At 53.2% G+C, this 16774-nt stretch overlaps 2 protein-coding genes across 3 annotated transcripts in view; one reads left to right on the top strand and one right to left on the bottom strand.

The window, feature by feature from the left end:
• The window catches only part of ZNF503 (zinc finger protein 503), a 122192-nt gene that overhangs the window by 1257 nt on the left and 104161 nt on the right, over positions 1-16774 (top strand). The window contains exon 2 of one of the 2 annotated variants that reach the window (NM_032772.6): positions 286-2830. The exons of the other annotated variant lie outside the window; for it this stretch is intronic. Coding sequence (NP_116161.2) covers positions 286-1911 — 1626 coding nt within the window. The 3' untranslated portion in view covers positions 1912-2830. Of the gene's footprint in view, positions 1-285; positions 2831-16774 lie in introns of those variants that run through there. 2 annotated transcript variants of the gene reach the window in all.
• Positions 2403-10531, bottom strand: LOC124902461 (uncharacterized). Its single transcript, XM_047426122.1, has one exon. The coding sequence runs from the start codon at positions 4502-4504 to the stop codon at positions 3539-3541; it is 966 nt and encodes a 321-aa protein (XP_047282078.1). The 5' UTR covers positions 4505-10531; the 3' UTR covers positions 2403-3538.

Genomic DNA, 16774 nt, shown 5'->3' with positions numbered 1-16774 from the left:
AAAACATTTTGCTCTTTAAAAATCTAGTTAGCGCTCAGAGAGGGCAGGAAAGATGCTGCTGGGGGTGGTGGTTGGGCGGGGGGAGCAATCTGCTGCCTTTCCCAACGGCGAGAATGTTTGTGAGTGGGTGTTGAAGAGGGGGTGCCGCCTAGAATTGCGCCTTGGGGCTGGGAGGATCTTCGTGGGCTGTTGCGGAGAGGCATTTGAACCCCAGAAGCCAGGATTCTAAAGGGTTTCCACTTCTTTCTCTGTGTGACGCTCCCCCCCCATCGTCTGACCCCGCAGCTCGATGCCAAGAAGAGCCCGCTGGCGCTGTTGGCGCAAACATGTTCGCAGATCGGGAAGCCCGACCCCTCGCCCTCCTCCAAACTCTCCTCGGTTGCCTCCAACGGGGGCGGCGCGGGCGGTGCCGGCGGCGGTGCTGCGGGCGACAAGGACACCAAATCGGGCCCCCTGAAGCTGAGCGACATCGGCGTGGAGGACAAGTCGAGTTTCAAGCCGTACTCCAAACCCGGCTCGGATAAGAAGGAGCCGGGAGGCGGCGGTGGAGGCGGTGGCGGTGGCGGGGGCGGCGGCGGGGGTGTTTCGTCGGAGAAGTCGGGATTCCGGGTACCGAGCGCCACCTGCCAGCCATTCACGCCCAGGACAGGCAGCCCGAGCTCCAGCGCCTCGGCCTGCTCGCCGGGAGGTATGCTGTCCTCGGCCGGGGGTGCCCCGGAGGGCAAGGACGACAAGAAAGACACCGACGTGGGCGGCGGTGGCAAGGGCACCGGGGGCGCCTCGGCCGAAGGGGGACCCACGGGGCTGGCACACGGCCGGATTAGCTGCGGCGGCGGGATTAATGTGGATGTGAACCAGCATCCGGATGGGGGCCCGGGAGGCAAGGCTCTGGGCTCGGACTGCGGCGGTTCATCGGGCTCCAGCTCCGGCTCCGGCCCCAGCGCGCCCACCTCCTCCTCAGTGTTGGGCTCTGGGCTGGTGGCTCCCGTGTCACCCTACAAGCCGGGCCAGACAGTGTTCCCTCTGCCTCCCGCGGGTATGACCTACCCAGGCAGCCTGGCCGGGGCCTACGCCGGCTACCCGCCCCAGTTCCTGCCACACGGCGTGGCACTTGACCCCACCAAGCCGGGCAGCCTGGTGGGGGCGCAGCTGGCGGCGGCCGCGGCCGGGTCTCTGGGCTGCAGTAAGCCGGCCGGCTCCAGCCCTTTGGCCGGAGCGTCTCCGCCGTCCGTGATGACAGCCAGTTTGTGCCGGGACCCTTACTGCCTCAGCTACCACTGCGCTAGCCACCTGGCAGGGGCGGCGGCCGCCAGCGCTTCTTGCGCACATGATCCGGCTGCTGCGGCTGCGGCGCTGAAGTCCGGATACCCGCTGGTGTACCCCACGCACCCGCTGCACGGTGTGCACTCCTCGCTAACGGCCGCCGCGGCTGCTGGCGCCACACCGCCCTCCCTGGCCGGCCACCCCCTCTACCCCTACGGCTTTATGCTCCCTAACGACCCACTCCCCCACATCTGCAACTGGGTGTCGGCCAACGGGCCGTGCGACAAGCGCTTCGCCACGTCCGAAGAGCTGCTGAGCCACTTGCGGACCCATACGGCATTTCCCGGGACAGACAAACTGCTGTCGGGCTACCCCAGCTCGTCGTCTCTGGCCAGCGCTGCCGCGGCCGCCATGGCTTGCCACATGCACATCCCCACCTCGGGCGCACCGGGCAGCCCTGGGACGCTGGCGCTGCGCAGCCCCCACCACGCGCTGGGACTCAGCAGCCGCTACCACCCCTACTCCAAGAGCCCGCTTCCCACGCCTGGCGCCCCCGTGCCGGTGCCCGCCGCCACCGGACCGTACTACTCCCCCTACGCCCTCTACGGACAGAGACTGACCACCGCCTCGGCGCTGGGGTATCAGTGAGGGCGGCCGGGAGGGCGAGCGAGGGAGAGGAGGGAGAGGGGGAGGGGAGGAGTCCAGGGAGAGGCGGGATCACGGCCCAGGCTGCTGACACCCGCGCGTGGGGAGGACTCGGGCCACGAAAGGAAAGAAATGTATACCGTATCTATCTACCCGACAGCAGCGACCGAGACCCGGTGGGACACTCCCCTTCTCCCCACTTTCACCTCCCCACCCAAACTTTATAAAAGTTGAAAAAATATCATTTGACTTTTTATAGAAAAAAAAAGGAAAAAATAATTGAGAAAGTGTTCATCTGAGGACTGCATCGGTGGACACTGGTATTTATTTATGTTAGCTCCAAGCGGACCGGTGGTTCAAAAGTGCATTATTTAGTTTGAGCTCTGTAGGTAAAAAGGAGGTGGGAAAAATTTTAAAACTTGAGGGTAAAAATGTGGAAAACAAACCCTCCCATCCCTTGTAGATTATAAATAAAAGCAAAACCGCCACAGAACTAGAGGTCTTCTCTTTAATGTTACTTTAAAATTGCTATGATTGTATTGTACGTTATTTAATGTCTGATTGAAACACAAATTTACATGCATGTTTGTTACAAAAAAAATGAAAAAAAAAGTCACAATTTGTCAGCTCTGATTTCAAATTGCAATTATTTTTAAGGTGTATACCATCGAAGAGAATGGGTATTTTTTTGTATGTATTCTGGAAGAAAACAACAAAAAAAAAAAGAAAAAGAAAAAATTCTATTCCAAAACCTCATTTGCCTTATTTTGTTCTTTAAAAGGAACACTTAACTATTTTTAATTTTTAAGTCCACCCGCTGAGAAGGGGACAAGGTTTACGTCATGTACTAAAATAATAGACAATGTATCGCTTTAAAGATTAAAATTCCGTATATTTGATGTATTAAAGGGTTTTACTTCTTCTTCTTATCTTTTTTATTTTGGTTAAAGAGAGCATGGCAGTTTCGGCCGCAGTGGGTTCCGGGGCCTCACTGCTACTCCTTCTTCCCGGGACCGTGGCTGAATTTCCGATCGCTTTGTTGTGATTTTCTGGGAGGCAAAGGCGTCGGAAGGGGCTACCAGCCGCGAAGTTGGCCTTGGGGAACATATTTTTAGAGGATATTTCACCATTTGGAAAATAGTGTCCTCCGCTATCTATCATTTCGTTTTTATTTCAATTTTCTCTTGGCAGCTGGCTTGTTAAAAGTGAAAGGGGGTGTGGGGCGGGGGACAGGGTTTTTGTTAAATTTCCCTCCTGAGCTTTTTGGGCATTTGGGTTTCGTTTTGTGCAGAGTGGAGCAGGCCGGGACTCGCCGGCTGGGCCTGGGCCGGGGCCTCGGGGACGTGGGGCAGCGCGCTGGGGCAAGCCGAATAGACTGGGAGGCGGAGGGGCGCTGGGGGAACCTGTGTCCCGGGCCTGGGGGGAGTACGCAGGGACCCTCTGGTCCCTAGGGGAGAGTGCGTCCTCTTTTCTTCTTCTGGCTGCCCAGGGCCTTCTAAACGCTCCCCGCAACCCTCGCCCTCACCCCCACCCCCACCCGCCCGCTCCTTCCTCCCTCCAGAGTCGGGACCCGGGGCTGGCCGGCGCCACCGCTGCTTTTCCCCGTCCGGGTGGCTCTGCAGCCGGCGCTCTATTCCATTCCGCGCCGCAGGAGAGCCCGCCCGGCCAGGACCCGGAAAGCCCCTCCAAGTGCGGCCCCGCGAGCGTCCCGGCGCCCAGGTCCGGCCTTTCTGGGGCTACCAGGTGGGCACCTAGGGCTCCGCTCTGCAGAAGCGCGGCGGGAGTCTGGGTCCGGGCGCAGCTCCCTGTGGCGCGGGCCGCTGTCTTCTCCCCAGCTTGGGCCGCAGGACAGAGCTGCCCGAAGCGCCGAAGGAAGCACGCAGAAAAAAGTCTCAGTCCCTTTTGGGGGGAGGGGGGCCGAGACCCAGCGCCCCCTCCCAGACGCTCCAGGCCTGGGCGCTAGCCCAGGTCCTCCGGCTAGTTGGGAGCTCTGAGCCCAGAGCGCCCTTTCCAAGGATTCCGGGACCGTGGAGTCACAGCTCTGAGAGCGCACCCCAAACTCTCCGCTCCCTGGGGTCAGGCTCTTCCGGTTTCTCCGAGTCTCGGGATCCCCTCGGCGCTCAGGTACCCCTGTTGCCTCTGGGGACTCACGGCCGCGCGAAGTCAGCCTTTGGCCTCTCGCCTGCGTCCGACAGCCCGCGGCCCCTGCCGCCATTTGCACCGGGATTGGTGACTTTGAGATTTTCCACCCTCCTCCCAGCGCCAGCCTCACGGCTGCAGGGCCTTTACCCGGGTTGCACGCAAAGCCACCCCCAGCGACCTCCCGGACACTGCGGGAAGCGCGCGGGCCGCCTCCTGGAACTGACTTGGTGGGGACTCTGGCTCCGCCGCCGTCTCCACACCCCCGACCCTGATGTCCGGACGTCGCGAGACCCCAGGAAACGGAGCTGGCGCCGAGGAGGACCCCTGGCCCGCAGCGTCTTCGGACGCCGCGGCCCCGGTCCCACTCTGGTCCCGCCGAGAGAGGCTGAGCTGGGCCTGGTTCCTTGAGAATCCTGGCCGGCGGGCTTGTCGCCCCGGCCTCTTGGACAGACATCCCCCGCCCTGCAGGTGGGAGGGCGGGAGCGCGTGGCGGTGCTGCAGCCGGGGTCCCACGCTCCGGTGCCCGCAGCTCAGGACCTGAAAGCCAGGCGTCTACCACTCTCTCACCAGCAGCGGCCACGCGCTCCTGGCCACTGCGACCCACAGGCTGTGCCTCTTTTCCCTAGCGTCTTCGGACAGGGGTCCCTGAGCGACCACACCTTGCCGGCCCGGAAGGACCTAGACATTCCCCCGCCCTGGGATTCAGGCTTGGGACCAGCAGGGAGACGAACCCGGGACGTTCGTGCCTTCATGCCCCTTCTTGGTATTTTATCAACACAACCCAAAACCAAAGCCCCTTAAAAGTTTGATGAAACTCCTTCCGGGAGCAGCTACACAGAGGCAGCAGCGTTCCGGCGCTGGGGCGCCCGGGGGTGAGGACAGAAAGGATTCCCCGACGTGTTGGACGGATCCGAGTCACCCCGGGCGCGCGGTAAGTGAAGGGTGGGTGCCAGTATCTGCTGCGTGTCCAGGCCGAGGTGCGAGCCTCCTCGGAGGGACAAATGCCCCTCCCCAAGGCGCGCCCCCCGACTCTCTCCAGCTTTTTCCCGAACAGCCGCGGGATCCCCGGCGCGCCGGCTGGCGGCTGGAGCCCGGGCGGAGCGCCGCGTGTCCACCAGGCGGCGCTGCAGAGCCCGGCGGAGCAGGAAGGAGTCCTGGAACCCCGGCCAGCGCGCGGGCAGCCGGCTGGATGGGCATCCCGAGGCCCCGCGCTTCCACTTTCGCGTGGCTTTGGGAGCGGTGTCCAGGAGGCCCCTCCCTGTGACTCCTCGCTTCTTTTCTCCTGCTGCGAACCGTCTCCCCTGCTCTTCTCCACCCGCTCCAGCTTCTGCGCTTGTTTCCTCCTCGTTCTCTATTCCTGTCCAGAGGATTGGCCCACGTGTCTGTCCCTTCCCAACCTGGGGAGCTCCCACCCTCAAGGCTCTGATACGTCACCTTGTCTGCCATGCTGAAGCAGTCGCCACACAGGCCTGCATTCATTCACTCCCTCCTTCACTGATGATTTCCTAGCGCCCACTCCTTGCCAAGGGCTGCTCATCCCATTTACTCGTCCCTGACACAGTTTGAGAAACCGAGGCTAAGTCCTGGAGGCCAGTGGCAGGGCTGGCGGATAAGGCCCAGGCCTTTCCCCCACCATCCAATCTTATCCCCCTACCTGTGCCTCTGGTGGTGACACAGCGACCCTGGTGTCCTTGTGCTGGGTAACTCCGCATAGATGCAGATCAGGGAGGTGTGCCTCCGAGAGAGCTGCTGAAGAAGGACCAGCTTCTGAAATCTGCCACAAGCCTGTGGACCTCTGAGTAAGCACAACTAACACAAATGCAGATGCCTGTCAACACACGCACTCACTTGTTTCCACACTTTCACTCCTACTTCCACAGAAGCCACCCCCTGCTCTGACTCTGCCACACCTGGTCACGTGTGGCACACACTTATGCTCCGACAGCAGACAGGAGAAGGAAAGATGTGGGCTTGGTCTTTAAGCAGTGAGGAAAGGCAGATAAAAAAGCCCCACTAGGTGATGAACTTCTTGTGATTTAGAAAACTCATAAGGCTGCAGCTCCAGCAGCGCAATCGGTTAGCACACAGTACTTACACAGAAGACTCGTAAAAGTTGCCCAGAAGGTGGGACTTATCCCCTGTCAGGTCATCGGCTGGCCTCTGCTGCACGTATTGGCTTAGGGTTCCTCACCGAATGTGGCTAGCAGCCTGGTGGTGCTTAGAGTGACTGGAAAACCCAGGCTGACCTGCTCACATCTGTCACGGGCTATGCCCAGCCCATGGGATCCTGTATCATCCCACTTACACTTCACAACAGTTCCATGAGGTCATTAGAATCTTCACCCCATTACTAGACTTAATACCTGGATGATGAAATAATCTGTACAACACACCTCCATGACACAAGTTTACCCATGTAACAAACCTGCACTTGTACCCCTGAACTTAAAAGAATCTTCACCTCGTTTTTCAGATGAGGAGACTGAGGCTCAGCAGCGGAAAGACAGTGGCTTGAGGTACACAGCTAGTGAGAGATGGCTATAAGCAGGGATTCTCACCTTGGCTGCTCTTGCCTGATGAAGTTTTAAAGCAGAACAGTGCCTGGGAGCCAGAGATGCTGTTCCAGCTAGAGGAGGGTGTGGTGAACGTAGCTGGGTTTTCAAAAAGGTTTTTGGTGTTATTGTTATTATTTTATTTTTTAATGGGGATTTTCTTTTTTCTTTTTTCTTTTTGTTTTATTTTATTTTTTTTGAGACAGAGTCTCGCTCTGTCACCCAGGCTGGAGTGCTGTGGCTTGATCTCAGCTCATTGCAACCTCTGCCTCCCGGGTTCAAGTGATTCTCCCACCTCAGTCTCCTGAGTAGCTAAAATTACAGACGTGCACCACCATGCCCAGCTAAATTTTTTGTAGTTTTAGTAAAGACAGGGTTTCACCATGTTGGCCAGGCTGGTCTCAAACTCCTGACCTCAAGTGACTCCCACCTTAGCCTCTTAAAGTGCTGGGATTACAGGCGTGAGCCACTATGCCCAGCCTATTTATTAATGGAGATTTTTCAAACAGAGCAGTAGAATGAATAGTGTAATGAACCCCCATAAACCCATCACCCAGCCTCAACAATGATCACCTCATGGGCAACCTTATTTCCTCGCTACCCCCTCCAACTCATTATTTTGAAATAATAAAGACACCATTTCACCTCCTCAGTGCCTGTCACTTCCAGCTAGGGTTTCAACCTATGCTTGGGTTGGCTCCCAATCCAGGGCTCATCCCGCTGCCCCACCTGGGTTGAGGCTCTGTGAACTAAAGCATATTACTCTCCAGTTCATGCACAGTATAGCTGGGATTTGAACCTACTTCTTTCAGACCTGGAAGCCAAGCACTTAATCCTACCCCATGCTGGGAGTCCCCAAAACTCCCGAAGGTACTAAGGCCTCTATGCCCAGTGTGACCCAGAGTGAGCCCAGGGGGTATCTGGGCTATTAAAAGACTCTAGCCCTGGCTAGGAAATGCCTTAGTTGGGACACTCACAGTACAAGAAATATTCCTAGAGTGAGACCAGCATAAAGCCACATGGTGCAGTGGAAAAAGCACAGATTTAGGTTCAGTCTAACCTATCTTTTAGCTCCACCACTGACTCATATCTAAGGCTGAGTCTCTCTTGACCTCAGTTTTCTCATCTATGAAATGGGGACATTGATACCAACCTAATGGGGCTGTAGTGAGGCTCAAATTAAGTAATAAATTTGAAAATGGCCAACCTACTGCCTAGTTCATACTGGTTCTTAGTAAAGACAAGTTTGTTTCTTTCTTTCCTTTCTCCCCAAAGTCTCATTTCATTTTGACCAGCCTTCTTGCTCAAGAACTTCCTGTGGCTCCCTGTGGCCCACTGGCTTAGAGCTTCACTCCACAATCTGGCCATCAGGGTGCCTGTAATCATGGTTCATCCTCTGATTTTGCCTGTTTGCCTGCTCTACCTCGTGTCTCACCAATCTTCAGAGTTCAAATCCTCTGCCAGCCAGCTAGCCCCCCAGCCCATCCTCCAACACCCTGATGGATGGCACCCATCATACACTCCTTCCCTGGAATGCCTTCCTTTTTCCCTTTCTACCAAAATGCTCTCAAAAATCTCCTCTTCCAGGAAGCCCTCTAGATTTTCCCCCCACCACACACCGATCTTTCCCTCACTTTGCATTCCCTCAGCACTTAATGCAAAGGCAGAGGGTAAAGATATAAAGGTCACTGTACCAGGGACCAGGACACTTGGGTTTGAGCAGTGCCTTTTTATAGTTGTGTGACCATGGACAAGTAAGTCACATGTCCTCTGTGAAGCTTGTCTCCAAAACTGATACAGGGCTGTGCCTACCAGGGTGAACAGCACATTGCCAACAAGAATAATATTAAAAAGTAGCATGAACTGCACACTTACTAGTCCATCCATTCACTTATTCATGTTACTATTACTGTCCCCATTTTACAGGTGATGAAGCCGAATAAAGTAACACTGTGCTGGTCCCTGTGCCTGGGATTTTGTCCTCCACCCTCTTTTCCTCATTACCAGCAACACAAAAGTTCTACTTTAGATCTCAGGCCAAGTGTGACCTCCTTCTGGAACGCCCCAGGCCCTTTTTATCGGATTTAATGTCCTTTCCTTTGATCTATCCTGCCATCATATTCTCTTTATGTTGTCCAGAAAGCCTGGATTCTGGGTTACTGGGGAGAAGGGATTATCTCCTATACCTACTTCTAATCATGGCAGCTAGCACGGTACCTGGAACATAGTAGGTGCTCAATAAATATTAGAAGGAGGGAAGGAAAAGGAAGGAAAGAAGAGAGGGAGGGAGAGAGGAGAAAGCAGAGGAAAGAAAAAAAAACAAAAGACAGAAGGAGGACAAATGTGCATGAATCGGGAACTCTTGGATAAAATTATGCTTCCAAAGAAGGGAGGGTAGGAGAAAAAGTAGCAGTGGCCTTAGAGGAACTTTGAATGTCTTTGCCTGAAGCTCAAAACTCAGGGCCAGGGGAGCTTCCATGCATCAGCTGGAAATAGCATTTGCTGACAATAACAAAGACTCCTAAATAGTGGCTTATGGAAGATAGATATTCTCCCAGACTAGAGGTGGGCAGTCCAGGCTTGGGGGAGCCCTCGGTCACCAAGAACCTAGGGTCCTTCTGTCTTCAGTTCTGCCAACCCAGGAAGCTTTCATCCTTACGTCATCTCTGAGTCCGAGATGGCTGCTTGAGCTCAGGCACCATCAGCTCATTCCAAACCACAGGAAGAGGAACAAGAGGTAAAAGGGACCCTCTCCCTTTGAATAGGTCTTCCTGGATACCACACCGCTCCTCAGCCTGCACCTCATTGTGTAGAGTTGAGTCACTTGGCCACATATAGCTGTAAGAGAGGCTGGGAAATGTCATGTTTAGTTGGGTACACTGCCACCTCAGATAAACTCAAGGCTGCTATGGACTGAAGTGTGTCCCCCAAAAAATTCATTTGAAGCTCTACACCCCAATGTAACTGTATTTGGAAATAGGGCTGTTAGGAAGGTAAAGTTAAATGAAGTCATAAAGGTAGAACCTAATCTGGGAGGATTTGTGGCCTTCTAAGAAAAGGAAGAGACACCACCAACCTCCCACCCCCAACCAATGCATAGAAGACAGGCCATGTAAGAAGGCAGCCATCTAAAAACCAGGAAGAGAGCCCTCACCAGAAACAGAATCAGCCAGCACCTTGATCTTGGACTTCTGGCCTCCAGAACTGTGAGAATAAATTTCTGTTGTTTAAGCCTCTCAGTCTATGGTATTTTGTCTGGCAGCCCAAGTTGACTAACACAAAGGGCTTTGTTACTAAGAGGGGCAGGAGTAGGAATAGAATATTGGCAGACTCCCCCGCACCCCACGAGTGGTGTCACCCAGAACCAGAGTCAAGAGAGAGCCCTCTTGTTGCCGACCTTTGGTGGGTCACAGGATGGTGACTTCTGCCTTTTAAACACAAATTCTTGTTGATAAAGTGGGCAGGGGTGCTACTGGAGAAGCCCTCAGAAGTAGTAATTCAGAGTTGGTGCAATTCAGTTGAATTTTAGGTGCCTATCAATGTACAATGCAATGATGTAGAGTAGGATTGGCCCTGAGGAGGAAGAGGAGGATGAGAAGAAGGAGGAAGAGGGGGAGGGGGAGGAGGGAAGAAGAAAGAGGAGAAAAAGGAAGAGGAGGAGGGGGAGGAAGAGGAGGAAGAGGAGGGAGGAAGAACAAGGAAGTGAAGGAGGAGGAAGAGGAGGGGAAGAGGAAGAAGAATTATATTGGGAAAGAGAGATGGAAATAAAGAGGAAGAAGAGGAAAAAAGGAGAAAAGCAAAGCTGGGTGGAAAGGCAGTAGCATATTAAACCTACCTGCCTCCTGCTTCCATGTTACTGATTAAAAAAAAAAAGAAATCATGCCTGTAATCCCAGCACTTTGGGAGGCTGAGGCAGGCGGATCACGAGGTCAGGAGATCGAGACCATCCTGGCTAACACAGTGAAACCCCGTCTCCACTAAAAATACAAAAACAAAATTAGCCGGGCGTGGTGGGGGGGTGCCTGTAGTCCCAGCTACTCTGGAGGCTGAGGTGAGAGAATGGCGCGAACCCGGGAGGCAGAGCTTGCAGTGAGCGCAGATCGCACCACTGCTCCCCAGCCTAGGCAACAGAGCGAGACTCCATCTCAAAAAATAAAAATAAAAAACTGAATACAGCCTCCAACCCAAAACGGAGGCAGACCTTGCCTTAAATAATTATAGTGTAACTACAGAAACCTGAAAGAAACAAAATCCAACCATAAAGAAGACAAATGGTGCCACTGAATCTTAGCAACATGTGAGTGAGTTTTGTTTTGTTTTGTTTGTTTGAGATGGAGTCTCGTTTTGTCGCCCAGACTGGAGTGCAGTGGCATGATCTCAGCTCACTGCAACCTCTGCCTCCTGAGTTCCAGCGATTCTCCTGCCTCAGCCTCCTGAGTAGTTGGGATTACAGGCATGCGCCACCACATCCGGCTATTTTTTGTATTTTTAGTAGAGATGGGGTTTCACCATGTTGGCCAAGCTGGTCTCGAACTCCTGATCTCAAGTCATCTGCCTACCTCAGCCTCCCAAAGTGCTAGGATTACAGACATGAGCCACTGCGCCTGGCCCATGTGAGCGACTTTTAACCCTACCTCTAGGCACCTACAAAGAGGTGGCCCAGCGGACACCTATACTGGGTCCAAGAGGGCACTGGGAGGAGAGGGGGACTTGGAGAAGAGAAGAGGAGACCCCTGGGAAACTAGAGGGAGTAAGGAGAATGCAGGAACCAGGAGGGGCACTGAGTATGAATGTGAGCCTTTTGGTTGTCCCGTTGCTGGAAGATTCCTCCAGCCTTAGGTCTCAACAAGGAAGAGACATCTCAGAATTCTCGGCTGACTCTCTGTGTGTCTCTCCATCTCTGCCATTTTTCTTTCATACACTTTACAAACATCTCCTCTCCTCCAAAACCCTTCTGGGGCAATTAGGCAATTCCTAGGGTGTGGGAATTCTACACGCTCCACATCAGCAGTTCTTAAGCCTTTTGTGGGTTGAGGGAAGGATGCAGAAACCTCAACCTTTTTTTGACAATTAATGAAAGCTGTGGCCCCTCTTTACAGAAATGAGTCCACATGCTTAATGTGGGAAACTTAATTTCATGTAGTTCATGGGCCTGCAGATTTTAAATCCTTGACCTTGAAGGAAATCCAAGATTTTAAAGATAAAAAAGCAGGGCCTTTGGACATGCCCTGAGGGGCTCTGGGTTTTCCTTTATAAATTATTCTGACCAATGAGACATTCCAACTACTCTGTGTGATCAACTGCAATAAGTAACATTTCTGTCAACCCACTACAGCCCAGTGTACACTTGTGCAACCTCACTGGAACTCTATGAAGGAGGCACTATCATTAGCCCCACTTTATGGATGGGGAAACTGAGGCACAAAGCGGCAAAGTGACTTGCCCAAAACCACACAACCAAGAAGTAGCAGAGCTGGGATTTGTTATAGTGTATGAGGCTCCAGGGTCTATTATTCTTGTGCCTTTCACTCTTTGCTACACTGCATAGTGACCTTTATTTCTCCGTACACTGAAGCCACAGATACCTGCCTTTCTCCCCAAATGCAGGTGTGAGACCTCACCCAGTGGTGTGCTGGAATCAGCTCCTACTGGCTCCCAACAGCCATATGTGCACATCTCTTCCCAACTCCTCACTCAGTGATGTTATGTTAGTGGCTTGAAATCAGCCATGGTGGGAGTATTTATACCACAGCAATGGGCAAGTACTACAAATGAAAGATTCCCCCGCAACCAAAGAGCTGTTTGTTCACCATTTACCAGCTCACCACTGGCCCCACCTGTTCTAGTCCAAATGGCTGCAAACTGCAGATCCAGCTGTCTAGGCCCCGAATCAGTGGCCGCCCCCTGCCAGTGAGGAGGACTTGGACATGGTCTGCTGTCCCCAGGATTAGCATGTAGGGTATTTAGGGTGAGTGTAATCTTCCTCTCTGACCCCACTGTATGTGGGCCACTTCCAACTGCCCTCAGTACCTCTCCTCTGCTGGAAACCAAGCCTGCTCATGTGGGGTCCTGGACCCCTCCTCCCACATAGATCCAGATCCTTTACACCAGAGGAAACTGAGCACTGTGGGATGATTCTGGCAGCCCATCTGATGCAGAGAGCCCTCGGCTGCCTGGAAGCCCCTGAAGTCTGCCACATCTTACCCCTGACATTGTACCATTGGCTATAGGCTCCTGCCAGCCAGATATGGTTTAACCCAGCCACTTTGGGCTTAGCAAACAGCCAGCCCCTCACCCTCACCCCATTGGACACCAGCCCTGCTCCCTCTCCTCCACCTTCTGGGAGCACCCAGCAAAACCCAGCCCTAACTCAACTCATTTGTGACAAGGCACATCCTCTGACCCATGTCCACAGAGAAACCTCCATCTGACAACAAGGATTCCAGTGGACCAGGCCTAGTGTGAAACCTGCCCTGATCCACTCTTACCAGATAGAATATCAGGAAGGAAATTGGATTATGATTATCGATACCATTTAGTGAGCACTTTATTTGTGCCAAATACTGTATGTAGTGCTTTCTCTACATTATCTTTTTATATCCTCACAAGACCTGTAGGAGATAAGTAGCTACAGTAACCTCATGTTACAAAAGAGAAAACTGAGACTCAGAGAGGTTAAACAGTATGCCTGAAGTCCCACAGCTAAAAAGTGGTGGGGCTGAAATTCAAAGCTGGGTCTGTCTCATTCTAAAGCCCTAGCCAATAAAACCTGTGCACTTCCACTCACAGATTCTGCACTCAGAGCAAACAGAATGTTCACAGCTGCTCCTTCCCCAGGCCCCAGGGAAGTGTGAGGAGGACAGCACCCTTCAGTTATTCCGGGATTCTCCGGGGAAGCCCTCAAGGCCAGAGGGAAGACAACCCTGATCACCTGTGCCAAGAACAGTGCCCAGACAGAGTTGTGAGCCTCCAGCTATGGAAAGTGAGTGTTCACTGGCAAGCACATACTGAGCACCTGCTGCATGCACAGCATTATCTTAGGCGTGGAGGCAATGGGAAGATGACTAGGACAGGGTCTCTGCCCTCAAATAACTTACTGTCCAGTCTAGTGGGTCATGGAGACAACTGTTGCCTTAAGGCGGGCTGTGATGAGGGATATAATCAGTGGAGGCCCAGGATGAACTCCAGTAGAAACATGTGAAAGTCATTGGGGAGGAGGCAGCACTTGATCTGGGCTTGGATGATGAATAGGCATTTGATGGCTAGAAAATGGCAGATGTGGGGATCCAGGAGGAAGGACCAGCAGGATCAAAGGGATGGAAGCAGGAAAGATCATGTCTTGTTCTTCAATAAGCAATAGGGAGCCATTGGAGGTCTTTGACCAGAGGAAGAACATTATGGGATGGAACAATGAGAGACTGGATATAAAGAAACCAATGTGGAGGTCTTGTAGTTAAGAGGGAGAAAGTGAGAGCTGGAAACAAGGGAGAAGCTGCAGGACAAGCAAAGCAAGGACAGTTCCAGGAAGCAGTGAGAAGGTAGAATGAATGGACTCTACCTGGTGAATGGCTGAGCTGGAATGGACAGCAGGAAGGCGAAGAAAATCCTGAGGCCTTTAGACTCAGGTATTGGGCTATGCAATGGTAAAACAAATACAGGGACCTAAATCAGAAAGACATTTCTCTCTCAGGTAATGGTCTCTGTGGCTACTCTGCTTCATGATGTCATTCAGGGGCCCAGATTCTTTCCATCTTGGAGCTCCTTTGTCCCCTAGGATATTGTGCTCATTCTTGTGATCAAATCTGGGCATATTCCAGCCACAGAAGGGTAGAGGGAGGAAGAAGCGCACAGTGTCCTTTCAAACAGGTGAGAAAGAAGTTGCTCATAGTCACGTGGCTACACCCAGCTGCAAGAGAGGCTGTGAAATGTAGTTTCTGGCTTCATCTCTAGTCTCTCGTTGTTCCATGTGCCAGGGGAAATGGGGGAATGGATGAAGTAGAACCCAAGCCTGGGTACCTGGAAGAAATTCTAGAGGGAGAGCAGGCTTTGGCAGGGAGATAGACTTTTGTATGGCTTGAGTTTCTGATGCCTGCATTGCGTCAGGGCTGGAGCTGTAAATTTTTGAATTGTATACAGAGAAGAGAAAGCTGAAACCTGGGGTGTGAGTGATGTGTACCCAAGGAGAAAAAAAACAGAAGAAGAAAGCTAGAGTAAGGGTGGAGGCTGAAACTTATGAGGAAGGTTTATGAAGAACAGTCATTCTGCCAGTTGTATTTTCCAATCATTGGTGCCACCAATATATCCCATCCCATATACTCTTCTCACACTATGGAGCTGACACTCCTTCCTCGACTGTGGTTGGAGTGGAAGTGATGCCATGGGACTTCCAAGGCTAAATTGTAACCAGTGAAACAGCTTCCTCTGGAAATGCACACCCCTGGGACCCAGTCACCATGCTGTGAGGAAGCCATGCAGCCACAGGACAGGCCATGTGGGAGTGTTCTGGCCAACAGCCCCAGCTGAAGCCCCAGCCAACAGCAGTGTCAAGTGCCAGCCACATGAGTGAATGAGGTTCAGACAACTCCTGGCCCAGGCTTTGGGCCGCCCCAGCTGACCAAAATGGAGTGGAGCAAGATGAGCCCTCCCCACTAAGCCTCACCGAAATTGCCAATTTGTGAATAAAATAAAAGTTGGGCTTGTTTTTAAGCCCCTTGATTTGAGACTCTTTTTCTTGTAGCAGTAGATAACTGAGACAGGCCAGTATCACTTTGCCCATCCCAAGAGAATGCTCCCAGCCACACAGAAGAGGGGTGACCTCGGTGACCTTCCTGTGTGTCTCCTGATTGGCCTTTCTCCAGCCATAGCAAGTCCCTCTATCCATGTTTCTGTTTCTCAGCTCACTGCCTTGCTGGCCTCCGGGTCCCTAAGATGGCCACCTCTTTGTCCCTCCCCTAGGCTCTGTCCTTGGCGTGGCCCCATAGAGAACCCCCTTAAAAGGACATTCCCAGCTCCCCATCCCTCATCTATCTCCATCTCGAGAAGGGTGGTCTGGTAGCAGAGAACTGGGAGGATAGCATGGGGTCTCAGCACCAAGGACAGAAAGGTGTCCGAGTTCCCTTTGAGCACCTTTGTGAGGAACAACATCAGACTTGGAGAGGCAGAGGGATGAAGGTCAGCGAGGAAGACTCAAGACCAATGGGTAGTCCCAGGGGGCTGGGGACAGGGAGGTAGCCAGAGGCATCACCTCCTGTGGGGACAAGAGACCTCAGAGGAAAACTGGCTCAAGAGGGAATGTGGCCCCAGTGTGGGGAGTCAGGGTTCCTCAAACTCTGAGCATGACCCCAACCAGGTGGGGGCTTTGGGGAGGTGCACAGGGCTCCATGGCCAGAGCATCATTTGGGTGCTGGGCCGCAGGGCTACAGGGCTGTGTCCCTGCTAGGGGCCTGGCTGGGTAGCTACCCAGCTAGGGGCTAGGAGTGAGGATGTGGCAAGGGAGTTGTGTCCATGTGGCACTTGCCTTGATGTAAGACTGCTACTTGACCTATCTCTGAGTGTGGCATGGGGCTATCTGTGGGGGCCTGCCTGTGATGAGGGACAAACTTACTTTTGGACAAGCCCAAGTGACACTCTATGTGTTTATGAGTGTGTGCTGGTGCCTGTGTGAGTCCATATGGGAAAGTGTGTACGAGTGTGTGTGTGTTTGTGAATTTGTATGTGATCATATATCTGAGTTCATGAGTTTATGTGTGTGGTGTGAGTCTGTGTGTGCATGTGTGAGATTATCAGTGTGTGTATGCGCATGTGTGTGTGTGTCTGCACCATCACCAGGAGGGAGGGAGAGAGGGGGGCTGGAATCCAGGGCCCTCAGTGTTCTCAGACAGGAGCGCCCACCACACAGAGCAGACCGCATCCCCTGCCCCACACCTCCCAGCACCTGAGCTGAGGCCTGACTTGGGAGCAAGCCCCACAGGCCTTCCAGTTCCCACAGGAGCCAGACTCGTCCTAAACTTCCATCACAGCTCCAGAGCACCTCCTCCTGGAGCCTCTGAGGTCTCCTAATCACCTTTGAAGAATGGACTGATGACTACACACCCTGAGAGTTCAGCACAAGGACAAGTGTCTGCCAGGGCAAGGGTCTGGCCATTGATCAAATAGCTGGCATGCTGATTGAC

This window comes from Homo sapiens, chromosome 10 (genome assembly GCF_000001405.40).
Source record: "Homo sapiens chromosome 10, GRCh38.p14 Primary Assembly".
NCBI lineage: Eukaryota > Metazoa > Chordata > Mammalia > Primates > Hominidae > Homo > Homo sapiens.
The sequence above is the reverse complement of the archived record's forward strand: the minus strand, read 5'-3'. Positions and strand labels throughout refer to the sequence as shown.